This window comes from Homo sapiens, chromosome 4, assembly GCF_000001405.40.
Source record: "Homo sapiens chromosome 4, GRCh38.p14 Primary Assembly".
NCBI classification, from domain to species: Eukaryota; Metazoa; Chordata; class Mammalia; order Primates; family Hominidae; genus Homo; species Homo sapiens.
Genome location: NC_000004.12, coordinates 56,999,987 through 57,016,095, shown reverse-complemented (window position 1 = coordinate 57,016,095; position 16,109 = coordinate 56,999,987). Strand labels below are relative to the sequence as shown.

Below are 16,109 nucleotides of genomic sequence, written 5' to 3'. Positions count from 1 at the left end.
AAACCACTAATTGTATACTTTTTAAAAATCGTTAACTTGCCGGACGCAGTGGCTCATGCCTGTAATCCCAGCACTCTGGGAGGCTGAAGCAGGCGGATCACCTGAGACCAGGAGTTCAAGACCAGCCTGGCCAACATGGCGAAACCCTGTCTCTACCAAAAATACAAAAATTAGCTGGGTGTGGTGGCACACACCTGTAATCCCAGCTACTACGGTGGTTGAGGCAGGAGAATTGCTTGAACCCAGGAGGTGGAGGTTAGTGAGCCAAGATCGCATCACTGCACTCCAGCATGGGCGACACAGCTGAGGCTGTGTCAAAAAAATAAATAAATAAATAAAATTAAATAAAAATATAAAAAATAAAAAAAGGTTAATTTTACAGTATGTAAATTCTATCTCAATTTTTAATACACACATTTTTCTCACTGCATGTTTTTACCTATAGTTGTTATATTCTCTCTCTTTCAATTGGTCAATATGCCTCTTCTTCAAAAGTAGCTTTTGTTTTTCCACAATCAGAAGTGGTCTACAAATACGGCCTGCATCCGTATAGATCCGAATCTCCCTCTCTCGAATATCTCTGATCATAGAAACCTACATATAAAAAGAAAAAACAGTTCCACAAATTTTTATTTTCTCTTTATTATTAGGCTTAGTTAAAAATACAATACAAATCCTACTAAATTTCTGGAGCAACCAATTTATCAAGTAAAATGTGCAAATCTTAGTTTACCATTGTTTAACATATTAAAAACTTAGGTATAATTTAAAATTTTATGAATGAAAAATCTAACCTTGGCAATTATAAACCTGTACAATACTATCTGGTAATAATGTCATGCAAGTTAACGTAGGAAATATTTTTTCAATACCACAAACACTAGTATGTGACAATTTCTTATTTTGGTTCTTTGCTGATGACATATATCTCACCCTGTAACCTTTCAAAAACCAGCCCTATATCACTTTGCTTTGACCATACTTTCCCAGTCATTAGCCTGACTTCTCACACCCACCTATCAGACGTAAGCCTGACTGCTCACACCCACCCTCAGACAAATGGCTTATAGTCTAGCTATCTAATACAGGGGATAGCCACATGTGACTGAGCACTTGAAACGTGGCGATTCTGAACTGAGATGTGTTGTAAGTATAAACTACATAATGCATTTGAAAGACAGCACCAAACCAGAAAAAAAAGAACGTAAAATAGTTTACTAATAATTTTTATATTAATAGAATGTTGATGTAATACTTTGGGATGTATCAAGTCAAATAAAATATGCTATTAAAGACCAGGCACGGTGGCTCAAGCCTGTAATCCCGCACTCTGGGAGGCCGAGGTGGATGGATCACGAGGTCAGGAGATCGAGACCATCCTAGCTAACACGGTGAAACCCCATCTCTACTAAAAATACAAAAAAAATTAGCCAGGTGTGGTGGCAGGTGCCTGTAGTCCCGGCTACTCAGGAGGCTAAGGCAGGAGAATGGCATGAACCCGGGAGGCAGAGCTTGCAGTGAGCCTAGATCACGCCACTGCACTCCAGCCTGGGCAACAGAGCAAGACTCCGTCTCAAAAAAAAAAAAAAAAGAAAAAAAAAGACCAGGCACGGTGGCTCATGCCAGTAATCCCAACACTTTGTGAGGCAAAGGTGGGCAGATCACCTTGAGGTCAGGAGTTTGAGACCAGCCTGGCAAACATGGTGAAACCCTGTCTCTACTAAAAATACAAAAATTATCTGGGCGTGGTGGTGTGCGCCTGTAATCCCAGCCCCTCAGGAGGCTGAGGTAAAGAATCACTTGAACCCGGGAGGCAGAGGTTGCAGTGAGCCAAGATCATGCCACTGCACTCCAGCCTGGGCAATAGAGTAAGACCCTGTCTCAAAAAACAAAACAACAAAACATCAAGTTTTTCTCTAAAATGAGTCAAAAGACAAGAAAGAGAAAAATGTTCCAAGTTCCTAGTCTACTGCCTGTCCTTAGAAAGTAATTTAAGGAGGAACACTGTGAGCAAAAATATCATGAGTAGTATTCTAAAGTCCAAGAAAGATTCTTCTTTCAAATGCACTGCCTTAAGTTCTTAGAAAACTAACATTCCTAACAGAATACAGCTCTATGGGTCTTTTTCTCTTTTTTTTTTTTTTTTAATATAAACATGGTCTTGATATGTTGCCCAGGGTGGTTGGTCCTAAATTCCTAGCTTTAAGCGATCCTCCCACCTCAGCCAGCCCAAGTTATGCCATTACAGGCATGAGCCACCACACCCGACCACTCTACCTCACCCACCAGCTGTTTTTGTAAACACAGTTTTATCAGTTTATGTATTATCTACGATTGGTTCTCATTACAACAGCAGAGCTAAATACATAATACACACTGTGTGATGAACAAAACCTGGGTGTGGTGGCACACACCTTGTGGTCTCAGCCACTTAGGAGCCTGAGGTGGGAGGATCGTTGGGGCCCAGGAGGTAGAGGCTGCAGTGAACCATGATTGTGCCACTGCATTCCAGCCTGGGTGACAGAGAGACATCCTCTCAAAAAAAAAAGAAAAAAAAATACAGCCAACCTACTGCATAGCTCCCAACACTTTGGGAAGCCAAGGCAGGAAGGACTGCTTGAGCCCAGGAGTTCAAGACCAACTGGGCAACATAGTGCCCAGATTTTTTAATCTCTCTATTAAAAAATACAGAGATAGAGAGATAGAGAGACAGAGAGAGACATTTTTTTGAGCTTTCTCTTAGCCTTGCCTGCCCTCAAGTGAATCACTCTCTTCCTGACTTCAAGCTGTAAATAAGCCTGGGTCAAAACCCAGGGCCAGGCTGGGCTCAGTGGCTCACACCTGTTATCCCAGTACTTTGGAAGGCCAAGGCAGGCAGATGGCTTGAGCCCAGGACTTCAAGACCAGCCTGGCCAACTATGGCAAAACCCCATCTCTACCAAAAATACAAAAATTGGCCAGGTGCAGTGGCTCACGTCTATAATCCCAGCACTTTGGGAGGCTGAGGCAGGTGGATCACCTGAGGTCAGGAGTTCGAGACCAGGCTGGCCAACATGGAGAAACCCAGTCTCTACTAAAAATACAAAAATTAGCCAGGCATGGTGGCAGGCACCTGTAATCCCAGCTACTCAGGAGGCTGAAGCAGGAGAATTGCTTGAACCCGGGAGGCAGACGTTGCAGTGAGCCGAGATCATGCCACTGCACTCCAGCCTGAGCAAGAGAGTGAGACTCCACCTCAAAAAAATAAAAATAGAAATACAAAAATTAGCCGGGCATGGTGGTACACATCTGTAATCCCAGCTACTCAGGAGGCTGAGGCATGAGAATTTCTTGAACCTGGGAGACAGAGGTTGCAGTGAGCTAAGATAGCAACACTCTACTCCAGCCTGGGCAACAAAGCCAGACTCTGTCCCTGCCCCCCAACAACAATAACAAAAAAACACTCAGGGTCTGCTGCTGGAAAAGGCCCAGAACAACCAAACTCTCTTCTCTGCTGTTTTAGGTACAAAGACCAGCTACTGGCTAAGCGTGTTCAGTTTCTCTCAAAAACCACTTTCACCCAAGGTATAGATTTGGGAAAATTAAAAGCCTGAACTACATTCCGCAAACAGTATACTAAAACCCTTACTTGGGAGAGTAATAAAGTTCACAATATATTGTAATGATTTTTTTTTTTTTTAATAAATTTTTGGAGACAGAGTCTCACTCTGTCACCCAGGCTGGAGTACAATGGTGCAATCTCTGCTCATTGCAACCTCTGCCTCCCGGATTTAAGCAATTCTCATGCCTCAGCTTCCCGAGTAGCTGGGACTACAGGCACATGCTACCATGCCCAGCTGATTTTTTTATTTTTAGTAGAGACAGGGTTTTGCCATGTTGGCCAGGCTGGTCTCAAACTCCTGACCTCAAGTGATCCGCCTGCCTCAACTTCCCAAAGTGCTGGGATTACAGGCATGAGCCACCAGGCCCGGCCTTATTGTAATGATTTTTTTAAAACCCATCCTAATCCCAAAGCACTTCAATATCCTCCAAAATATAAAAGAATCTATTAGTGGTATATCACATTTTATTAATGAATCTCTGGATTCAAAGGATAAATCCCAGATGGTTATTCCCTTTTAAAAAGTATTCTCAGCTTTATAAAAAGATTCCCAAAAGAATTTTTACTTTAAAATGTAATTTGAGTTCTAAAATATAATTTAATAATTTAAAATGTGCCAAAATTTTTGGAAGCATGCATCGAAAGATTAAGGCAAGCAATAACTTCTTTTTTTGAGATGGAGTCTCGCTCTGTCGCCAGGCTGGAGTGCAGTGGTGTGATCTTGGCTCACTGCAACCTCCGCCTCCTGGGTTCAAGCAATTCTCCTGCTTCAGCTTCCTGAGTAGCTGGGACTACAGGCGCGCGCCACCACGCCCAGCTAATTTTTGTATTTTTAGTAGAGACAGGGTTTCACCATGTTGGCCAGGATGGTCTCAATCTCTTGACCTTGTGATCCGCCTGCCTTAGCCTCCCAAAGTGCTGGGATTACAGGCGTGAGCCACCATGCCCAGGCTTTTTTTTATTTTTTGAGACAGAGACCCACTCTGTCACCCAGGCTGGAGTGCAGAGGTGCAATCTCACCTCACCATAACCCCCGCCTCCCGGGTTCAAGTGATTCTCCTGTCTCAGCCTCCCGAGTAGCTGCGATTACAGGCCCATGCCACCGTGCCTGGCTAATTGTTGTATTTTTAGTAGAGATGGGGTTTCGCCATATTGGCCAGGCTGCGCTTGAACTCCTGACCTCAGGTGATCTGCGCCTCGGCCTCCCAAAGTGCTGGGATTACAGGCATGAGCCACTGCACCCGGCCTAGCAATAACTTATAATTAAATTTACACTTTACAGTTCAAGGGAATAAAGTTCAAAGAAAAGATGCCAATGCAAAGATAACTTTCACTAGTCCTATGCCTTGTTTAAAAATCTCACAGTCCACACCCTCTTAACTAAAGATTCTTACTTCAGACACAATGATGTCCATCTGACGTCTCAATTTCCTTAGGGTGTTCATAAGTTGTTCGGGATCTTTATGTATTCCAACCCAGCAGCCATTAACAAAAATCTTGGTTGCACTACAATGAAAAAGCAAAAGCATTTTACACTTAACAATTCTATACTAAGCAACAACTAAAGATTAACTATAGTTTAAAAAACTAATTCCATCTATACACACTCAGCAATAGCTGCAGGAGAAATTTCTTCTAAATTTTCCATACTCCATTCTTCTAAAAATTCCAGAATTGGAGATGGTTGAGATCCAACTGAAATATACGCCATCAAGGCTAAATTCTTCACAAGTCCTACAGCATGGCCCTAAAAAATAAACCAAGTATTAGTCATTCTGATTTTACATGCCTATCAAACTTCTTTTCCATAAACATTTTTCCTTCAATGTGATTTCAAGATTTATTCTTACTTTCTAAGAATACAATTATAAAAAAAACTTATTTCTAAACCACTCTGCATAATTTTTCAAACATCTATTTCTAAAAGTAATTATGCCCTACATAATTACCCACTGACTTTTTGTCCTGAATGTAAATTCTAATGTATTACCTCTGGGGTCTCGGCAGGACACACCATTCCCCACAACGTATTATGCAACTGTCTTGGTTTTGCTAGCTTGCCGTCTCTACCAATAGGAGAATTTAAACGACGCAGGTGAGAAAGAGTAGACGCAAAAGTCAGGCGGTTTAACACCTAGAAAAAAATAGCCAATCTTTAAAGTCTGGACATTTCTGTGATTCATACTATTACACTGAGGCAAAGTCATATTTTTACATATAATCTACTGAGTATCAAACTGTTCCCCATTTCTCTATTCTTTCCCTGAATAATGTTGTTTGACACTTTAACTTACCTGCCACTTGCAGCAGGGATGGCAAATATATTCAAACATACCACATAAACATTCTGTTTATGGTCTCCAAACAAACACTAGGACATTAGTTTCATGAAGGCAGGGAATTTTTTAAAATTGTTTTATTCTCTGTTGTATCCCAGCACCTAGAACAGTACTTGGCATTCATTAAGTACTCAGTAAGTGTTAAGTTAAATTCTACCAACTCACACTCCTCTGATCATAGCAGACATCACTAATCCATCTCAGTACTTTTTCCAGACTGAGGCCTCTGAATCTAATAGAAAAATGCAAACATCCATTACTAATACTTACAGGATACTAAGCAAGATTTTATTTATAAATAAGATAATATTTAGGGCAATATAAAGCAGACAACTCAAGCTCTATATTATTAATTATTTATAAATCTCCATCTTCCCCCAGTCCTTAAACAATTCAAACTTTCTTCCTCTTTCCTAAGTCTTCTGTCGTGGATAAGCAGCATCACCTTTCTCTCAATCTGGAAATCTCAAAATCATTTTTGTCTCCAAGTTCCTCCTTCTACCCATCTATAAACATACCCTATCAATTCTATTTTCAAATATTCTAAAAAACCTAGCCCCTCCCTTCCCAATGTCACAGTAATAGACCAGCCCATTTCCCCTCACCTATACTACGTCCATCAGCTCATAAGTCCCTGCCTGGTTCCCTCCAATCTACCCTCTTCACTTGCCAGAATTATTAACACTTACCCACTTAAAAATTAAACAGGTAGCCACTGGCTACAGAAGAGCACAACATTAAAGTCCTCCTCAATGAAGCCCCAAAAACAACCTTCCCCTACCAGTCTCCTTACACTCCTGTACTCCACTGACATCACCATACACCCTCACCTCCAAGCCTTTGACCATGCTATTGCCACAGAATGAAATACACTTCTCCACTCTGCTCTGCCTGGTGAAATGATACCACCTCTACAAAGCCATCTGACACACCACCAGGAAGAACTATTCTCTTTTCTGTACTCATTGGAGTTTTCAACCATTCTACTAATCAATCACAAAGTCTTACGAAACTTACTTCCTAAATATTTCCAAAATTTACTCTCCATCTCTACAAAACTGCTCTAGTCCAGTCCCTAATTACTTCTCACCCCAGGCTGTTGCAACAATCTTCCTGCCACCAAACTTGCCCTTCTCTTTTCTCCACATTGCCAATTACTGTGAATCTGTCCAAAAGAACAAAAATGACCACGTCACTCCTCTTCATGAGCTGGTTCCCATCCTCCTAAGCCTCCACTTTGATTTGAAAACCCAGAACTGCTCTAGCTCCCCCGACAGACACACATTCCTTCCTGCCTCCATCTCTTTTAATTCAGAATATTAAGAAGTTCTCTAAGCTCTCTTATGAGCTGCTGGTTCTACCTACCTCGCAACTTGGGCGTTTTCCAAGTACTCTTCAAGATTCAGTTCAGGTGTTACCTCCTAAACAAGGACTTCTTTTCACCTTCTCAGGCTGTGCTAAGTATCTTTCTCCAGCATTTCCACAGAGCAGCAGTGCACATCTCTTATTATAACAGTTACCATGCCATGCTGTAATTATCTGTTTACATCTACAAGCATAGACTGTCAACTACTGAAGATCAGGATCACTGCATCTCCAGCATGTGGCAGAGTGCCTGGCACATCACAGGTCCCAATAACAATTCCTTGAACTGGGCCAGGCACGGTGGCTCACACCTGTGATCCCAGCACTTCGGGAGGCCGAGGCGGGCAGATCACGATGTCAGGAGATCGAGACCATCCTGGCTAACACGGCAAAACCCCGTCTCTACTAAAAATACAAAAAATTAGCCAGGCGTGGTGGCGGGCGCCTGTAGTCCCAGCTACTCGGGAGGCTGAGGCAGGAGAATGGTGTAAACCCAGAAGGCAGAGCTTGCAGTGAGCGGAGATTGCCACTGTACTCCAGCCTGGGCAAGACAGCAAGACTCTGTCTCAAAAAAAAAAAAAAAACCAATTCCTTGAACTGAATTTGCAATGTGGCATTTGTCATAACACAGCACAGGGCATAGTGAGCTACACATGAATGAATCTGTTTCCTCTGCTAGATGCTGATGAGCTCCCTGAGGGCTGAGATCAGCATCTCATTCATGTGTGTGAACTCAGTATCACAAATATCAAATATACCCAATAAATCCTTACTGAATTACAAGGAATTTAAATATTAACTTTGCTATCAGTAGCCCCTCAAAATTTCTTACAGCATCCAGATTTCTAGGAAAAAGGAGCTTGAAATTGGTGTCCGAATGCCAAATCAATCAGGTGATACTGGTATAGGCCAGTTTAAACAAGGAAAGGAGGGGGAGATCCCCCTAAAAATGGCATAAAGTACATTACAGGTTTTCAATCATCTATGAAAAGCAAATACAAAAAATTAAAATGCCCAGTGATACACTCTTTAAAAAGCTTTTCTCCATTACTCCATCTGAGAATAGCTACTGCAGTCATTATATATGCAACAGACCAACATATAGAAACCAGTGTCAGAAGTACTGTATTTTCCAACAAAGGAGGGCGATGACCATTTTTATCTCTTAGTTGGCTTCTAATGTGGAGCTTTTAAGACATAAAAATTTCACTAACATGGACTGTCTCACCCACTAAGCAGCTACTCTAATTTTTTAATTACTTTGAGTTTCTAAACTGCAAGCCAAAAATCTATCTTAGTAATACTAATAGCTAATTTAAGAAAATTTCATGTTCATAATTCAAAAGTCCCCAGTAAGTTTTTTTTTTTGTTTTTTGAGACGGAGTCTCACTCTTTTTGCCCAGGCTGGAGTGCAGTGGCATGATCTCAGCTCACTGCAACCTCCACCTCCCAGGTACAAGCGATTCTCCTGCCTCAGCCTCCCAAGTAGAGTAGCTGGGATTACAGACACCCACCACCATGCCCAGCTAATTTTTGTATCTTTAATAGAGATGGGGTTTCGCCATGTTGGCCAGGTTGGTCTCAAACTCCTGACCTCAGGTGATCCAGCCCACCTCGGCCTCCCAAAGTGCTGGGATTACAGGTGTGAGCCACCACACCCGGCACCCAGTAGTTTTACCTTTGACCAAGAAAGAAAAGCAAAATAATTTATATTCAACAAACAAAAGAATCTACTAGTCCTATAAACATGTTTCCTATTGAGCCTGTAGTCATAGTTGGCACACTTACCTGAGATACTCCAGCTCTGGCTTGATGAGCTTTCTTTTGATCACCCCAGTTTCCAGTAGCTAAAGAGTATTTTAGGCCATCAGATATGATCCGTGTTTTAATTGCCAACTCCAAGTTAAAATCCTTTCCTCGATCAATAAATTTCTGTGCATAGATCCGCACTTCTTTAAGCAAATTCTTAAACATACTGCCGAATAAAATGGTATTATTTTAAACATGTAGAGGTCTACAACATATATTCTCAACAGGAGGAATATTGCAAAAAAAAGCGTGGGGAAGGTGAGCAAAAATTGTTTGGGCAGAGTGAAAGTTGTTGCTCTTTTATGTCTAAAGCACAGATATATGTATAGTACGTGAACATACATGGCAGGGGAGCAACTACACAAAAATGTCAAAGAGGTGGGGCATGGTGGCTCACATCTGTAATCCCAGCACTTTGGGAAGCTGATGTGGGCAGATCACCTGAGGTCAGGAGTTTGAGACCAGCCTGGCCAATATGGAGAAACACCGTCTCTACTAAAAACAGAAAAATTAGCTGGGTGTGATGGCACACGCCTGTAGTCCCAGCTACTTGGGAGGCTGAGATAGGAGAACCGCTTGAACCCTGGAGGCAGAGGTTGCAGTGAGCCGAGATGGCACCATTGCACTCCAGCCTGGGCAACAAGAGTGAAATTCCATCTCAATAAACAAAAATGTTAAAAGAGGCTCCTTAGTGGGGCAATATCAAAAAAAGGTTGAAAAACACTAATCTATAACATACTAAATAACAAAACACGTGCAAGACAATGCTAATGTTATCCTTTTTGTACTGTCTACATATTTCATTTTTAAAAATAACTTTTTTCCAATTATAGAAAATATGGGAAATATACAAACATCAAGAATAAAATTAAAAACTGCACATAATACCAATACTGTGAGACAATCACTGACAGTATTTTTATATATTTATCTCCAGCTTTTGTATATATGTGTACAAAGCAGGACAAAATCCAATATTAGCCCTTAGGAAAACCAAGGCAATAATTCAGCTTTCTCAAACATCTTACAAAGCTACCAGAGGAATAAAGAAAATATATAAACACGTAATATATTGTCCTCATAAACCTGGCTTTCCTAGACATGAACCAAAACTAAATCTGAGCAAATAGCAATAAGAATGTAGCTAATTTCATAAGTACCCAACGTGGATGCCAACACAGTTTAGCCTGGCCATATGCAATGATCAATCTAAAGTGAAATAAATCTCCCTGCTTTAATGACTTCATTCTGTAATTCCTTACCCTCTAAATAAGAATGCAAGCAGCGGCCCAGCAAGATCCAATCTCTTGTTTCCATAGTGATCTCTGTCATCTAGTTCTCTTCTACCCAAAGCTGCCAGAAGTAACCTATGAACCATGTATCTTTAAAAAAAAAAAAAGAAAGAAAGAAAGAGGGAAAACACTTAGTTTTGGACTTTTTTTTGATTTATATGTTAAAAACATCATTTTTGACTCTAAGAAAAACCTTTATCTCAACTGTATCTTGATAAAGAACTTAAAACAATGAAACTTAACATACCCCAAGAAATAGGCTTTTTTGGTCTCACAAAAATCACTGACACCAACATGAGGGAGCATTTCTTTTTGTAAAACTTCCTTTGCATATTTAATTCTTTTCTCTTTAGTAACACCAGGCTTTGCTCCTCTTGAACCAATGAAATTTAGTGCAACATTCTGTTCTTGGATGACAAAAGCTTCATCGAGAGAAGGTTTAACCTATCAGACAATTTAAATAAAAGTTATTTTCAAATTCATGTTGCTACCTTAAAATGAGTAAACTGTCACTTAGTTTATAACATGCCAAGTACCCCTATGAACATAATAAAATATGTGAGTATTTTTAGAAAATCAAGGAATCACAAACTCTTAGAAGATACCTCAGAGATCTAGCGATCTCTGACAAAAACCACTCATCAGCACAGGCAATTACCTTTCTAGAAAGATACAAATAATTCCATTATAAAAAGAGTAGTGCATGGCCAGGAGCAGTGGCTCATGCCTGTAATCCCAGCACTTTAAGAGGCTGAGGTAGGTGGATAGCTTAAGTCCAGGAGTTTGCAACTAGTCTAGGCAACATGGCGAAACCCCCATCTCTACTAAAAATACAAAAATCAGCTGCCGCAGTGGCACATGCCTGTAGTCCCAGCGACTTGGGAGGCTAAAGTGAGAGAATCGCTTGAACCCGGGAGGCAGAGGATGCAGTGAGCCAAGATGGTGCCATTGCACTCCAGCCTGGGTGACAGAGTGAGACACCGTCTCAAAAGGAAAAAGAGTGGTGCGTTTCTTTTTTACATTTTACCAATGGAAAAATAAAGTTCCAGATATCTAAAATCAATTTACAGAAATTTCATAGTCAAATTAAAATTTACTGAACTACAAATGGTTAATGTGCCAGATTGTTTTCAGTTTTGGTATTAAAAAATGTTTGGCCTGCGTGGGGTGGGGCTTACTCCTATAATCCTAGCATTTTGGAAGGCCAAAACAGGAGGATGGCTTGAGTCCAGGAGTTCAAGACCACCCAGGGAAAGAAAGTGAGAACCTAAATCTACAAAAGAAAAATAAATTTTTATCCAGCGTGTACCCTGGATGTAAAAAAAAAAAAAAAAAAAGATTTGCTGGGAATGGAGGCTCATGCCTATAATCCCAGCACTTTGGGAGGCCAAGGCGGGCAGATCACAAGGTCAGGAGTTCAAGGCCAGCCTGGCCAACGTAGTGAAGACCAGCCTGGCCAACACAGTGAAACCCCGTCTCTACTAAAATTACAAAAATTAGCCGGGCATGGTTGCGTGTGCCTGCAGTCCCAGCTACTTGGGAGGCTGAGGCAGGAGAATTGCTTGAACCTGGGAGGTGGAGGTTGCAGTGAGCCAAGATCATGACACTGCACTCCATCTTGGGTAACAGAGTGAGACTTCATCTCAAAAAAAAAAAAAAAAAAAAAAAAGATTTAATTTAAATTAAACCTAATATTTTACAAAGGAGACAGTTATTTATTTTATTTTTTGAGACAGGGTCTCACTCTGTCGCCCTGGCTGGAATGCAGTGGTAGCTAGGAGGAGTACAGACAACACCACCACACCCAACTATTTCTTCTTCTTCTTTTTCTTTTTTTTTTTAAGAGACACAGTCAGTCTCCCTTTGTCACCCAGGCTGGAGTGCAATGGCACCATCTTGGCTTACTACAACATCTGCCTCCTGGGTTCCAGTGATTCTCGTGCCTCAGCCTCCAGAGTAGCTGGGATTACAGGCATGCACTACCACACCCAGCTAATTTTTCTTTTTTTTGTAGAGACAGAGTTTCCCAAGCTGGTCTCAAACTCCTGGCCTCAAACGATCTACCCATGTAGGCCTTCCAAAGTGCTAGGATTACAGGCATGAGCCACTGCACCCATTCTATTTCTTTTCTACAGACACAGGGGTCTCATTATGTTGCCCAGGCCAGTCTCAAACTTCTGGGATCAAGCAATCCTCCTCCCAAAGTGCTGGGATTACAGGCGTGAGCCACCATGCCAGCCCAAAAGTTATTTTATTTTTTTTGAGACAGTCTTGCTCTGTCACACAGGCTGGAGTGCAGTGACGTGATCTTGGCTCACTGCAACCTCCGCCTCCCAGGTTCAAGCGATTCTCCTGCCTCAGCCTCCTGAGTAGCTGGGACAACAGGCGCACACCACCATGCCCAGCTAATTTTTGTATTTTTAGTAGACACAGGGTTTCACTACGTTGGCCAGGATGGTCTCGATCTCCTGACCTCGTGATCTGCCCGCCTCAGCCTCCCAAAGTGCTGGGATTACAGGCGTGAGCCACCGCACCCAGCCCAAAGGTTATTTTAAAAACACACTGTGAAAGAGACCTGCCTCCCATTCCTGCCACTATCTGTGGCCTCTCAGAAGGCATGTAATGGATTTCCTCATCTACAAAAGGGTTATATAAAATAATTTCTAAGTTCCATACCAGTTCTCATATTCTAAATTTCCAACTATACACGATAATGAGCATGAGAAATGAAGGGTAACATTTGACAACTCTGGCCTCTGTAAGTGCCCTCTGATCTTATCCCAGACACTGAAATGCCTTTCTTGCCCTTGATTTCCTATGTCTTTTTATCACTGGTCCACAAATTTGTTTGTTTGGTTTTTTTTTTTAAAGAAAGGGGGAGGACCCAGGGGTCAAACAAAAATATGGAACCCTTCTCATTTGTGTCTCATCCTTACACAGAGACATGCTAACCTACATATTGTTCCAGTATTAGTATATGTGCTACAGAAGCGAGGACCATTCCACAAGTTTAAACATCAAAATTCCAATCATGGAAACAAAGATCAGAAAAAGGCCATGTCAACCAAAGTGAGGTCACAGATAGTACAGTAAATCAAAGTGATATTTTTCAAAGGAAACTGCCACTGTTGTTTAAAAAAAATGATTTTGTTAAAATATAGATTAGAAAAAAGGAATAACAATAATGTACTTTTGGAAGAAAAAAAATAAAGCAGTTTTATGAAGTGAATGCTTGACTCAGAGACTTGTAAAAATTGGCTTAAGCTTCCTAAGTGCTGAAAAAACCAACAGTAATACTCAAAAAGACAACATACATAAAGCATATCATATTTTTCACTTTACTACGAAAACTCCAGGTCGGGCCTGGACACGGTGGTTCACGCCTGTAATCCCAGCACTTCAGGAGCCCGAGGATGGTGAACCACTTGAGCTCAGGAGTTTAAGATCAGCCTGGGCAACACGGCAAAACTCCATCTCTACCAAAAATACAAAAAATTAGCCAGGCATGATTGTGCACACCTGTGGTCCCAGCTACTCAGGAGGCTGAGGTGGGAGAATTACTGGTGCCCGGGAAGTCGAGGTTGCAGTGAGCTGTAATTTCACCACTGCACTCCAGCCTGGGTGACAGAGCGAGACCCTTTCTCAAATAATAATAAGGTATGTAACTACTGGCAAAATCTGAAAGTAAAATCTAACCAGAACCCAATTTTCTCATGTAACCACACCAACAAATATTCAAATAACTAAAATATACTCCCTGTTCTAACTTTGTGACAAAGATTTAGCCTGCAAAATCTGTGACAAAGATTTCTCTGTAGTCTTAAGCGCTCTGGACAATTTAAGACAATTTTAAGAATATCATTTACTGTTCAGATAAGGAGCATCAATGGAAAAAATTTATAAGGAACTGGACATTTAACCTCAAAAATCCTTCCCATAAAAGGTTCCCACAAAAATAGTAACCTTACAGTGGAGGTACCTAACAGACACCACTGTGAAGCGATCAAAGTTAACAGTACCATTAATGGGGCAAAATGACATCACATGACTCTTGTTGAGATGCCCTGGGAAGCATATAATATTACTTAAGTATTTTTTCTGCCAAAAAAGTGCATAAATTGAATCTAATCATGGGGAAATATGTGAAAAACACAACTGAGGACAATTCTACAAAATAAATGGCCTGTCCTCTATATACTTTGTTATGAAAGACAAAGAAAGGCCGAGGAGGCCAGGCACGCTGGCTCATGCCTGTAATCCCAGCACTTGGGAGGCCTACGCAGGCTGCCCCTCACTTGAGATCAGGAGTTTGTGACCAGTTTGGCCAACACAGTGAAACCCTGTCTCTACTAAAACTACAAAAATTAGCCAGGTGTGGTGGCACGTGCCTGTAATCCCAGCTACTCACAAGGCTGAGGCAGGAGAATCGCTTGAACCCAGGAGGCAGAGCTGAGATTGTGCCACTGCACTCCAGCCTGGGCGACAAAGCGCGACCTTGTCTCCAAAAAAAATAAGGCCAAGGAAGGATTGTAAAAGACTAAAAAGACATATAATCAAAATGCAATGCGTTATTCTGAATTGAACTCTGAACTATAAAAGAGATTAAACTTGAATTACTATATACTATTAATGTACAGATCTTATTACTTAATAGTTTTCAATATTATCAGGACAACTGACAAAAATCTGAGTCAGATCTGTACATTAACAGTATTGTTGTAATCCTATCACTTTGGGAGGCCGAGGTGGGCAGATCACCTGAGGTCAGGGGTTTGAGACCAGCCTGGCCAACACAGTGAAACCCCGTCTCTACTAAAAATACAAAAATTAGCTGGGCGTGGTGGCACGTGCCTGTAGTCCCAATTACTTGGGAGGCTGAGGCAGGAGAATCACTTGAACCTGGGAGACGGAGGTTGTGGTGAGCCGAGATCGTGCCACTGCACTCCAGCCTAGGCAACGGAGTGAGACTCTATCCTCCCCCCCAAAAAAAACAGTATTGTATCTAAGTAAAATGTTCTAATTTAAATGATTATACTACGATTATTTAAGTGAATGTACTGATTCTTAGGAAATATACACTGAAGTCTTTAGGAGTAAGAGGCTATTGGCTATAACTTACTCTCCGATGGTCCAGAAAAAAAATGTGTTATATATAGAAAGAATGAATGATAAAGCAAATGTGACAAAAGTAACAACTGTTGAATTTGGGTGAAGAGCATATAAGACTTTTATATATTATTCTTGCAACTTTTCTTATTTTGAGACAAGGTCTTACTCTGTCACCCAGGCTGGAGTGGGGAGGCATGATTAGGGTTCACTGCAGCCTCCACCTCCTGGGCTCAAGCGATCTTCCCAACTCAGCCTCCGCAGTAGCTGGGACTACAGGAACATGCCACCATGCCTGGTTAACCTTTTGCATTTTTTGTAGAGACAGGTCTCCCTGTGTTGCCCAGACTGGTCTTGTGGACTCAAGTGATCCTCCCGCCCTGGCCTCCCAAAGTGCTGAGATTATAGGCGTGAATCACCATGACTGGCCTTTTTGTAACTTTTCTGTAAGTCTGAAATTATTTCAAAATAAAAAGTTAAACAACAGGTATCAACTACTCATTTTCCCTTTTTACTAAATTGCACCAAGCTGGTGTGCTTCTGCGAGCTTCCTTACCAATGTTTCTTCTTGCTGCTGTCATTAACTCCAGCTGCCTC

General features: G+C 41.4%; 1 protein-coding gene and 1 pseudogene across 3 annotated transcripts in view; both read right to left on the bottom strand.

The window, feature by feature from the left end:
• POLR2B (RNA polymerase II subunit B) overlaps positions 1 to 16,109 on the bottom strand; it is a 52,263-nt gene that overhangs the window by 15,063 nt on the left and 21,091 nt on the right. For all 3 annotated transcript variants that reach the window (NM_001303269.2, NM_000938.3, NM_001303268.2), the window contains 7 exons: positions 10,654 to 10,850; positions 10,377 to 10,496; positions 9,094 to 9,280; positions 5,592 to 5,735; positions 5,209 to 5,348; positions 4,996 to 5,107; positions 440 to 594 (listed from right to left, as the gene is read on the bottom strand). In NM_001303269.2, coding sequence (NP_001290198.1) covers positions 440 to 594; positions 4,996 to 5,107; positions 5,209 to 5,348; positions 5,592 to 5,735; positions 9,094 to 9,280; positions 10,377 to 10,496; positions 10,654 to 10,850 — 1,055 coding nt within the window. The remainder of the gene's footprint in view (positions 1 to 439; positions 595 to 4,995; positions 5,108 to 5,208; positions 5,349 to 5,591; positions 5,736 to 9,093; positions 9,281 to 10,376; positions 10,497 to 10,653; positions 10,851 to 16,109) is intronic.
• Positions 13,304 to 13,404, bottom strand: RNU6-998P (RNA, U6 small nuclear 998, pseudogene; annotated as a pseudogene).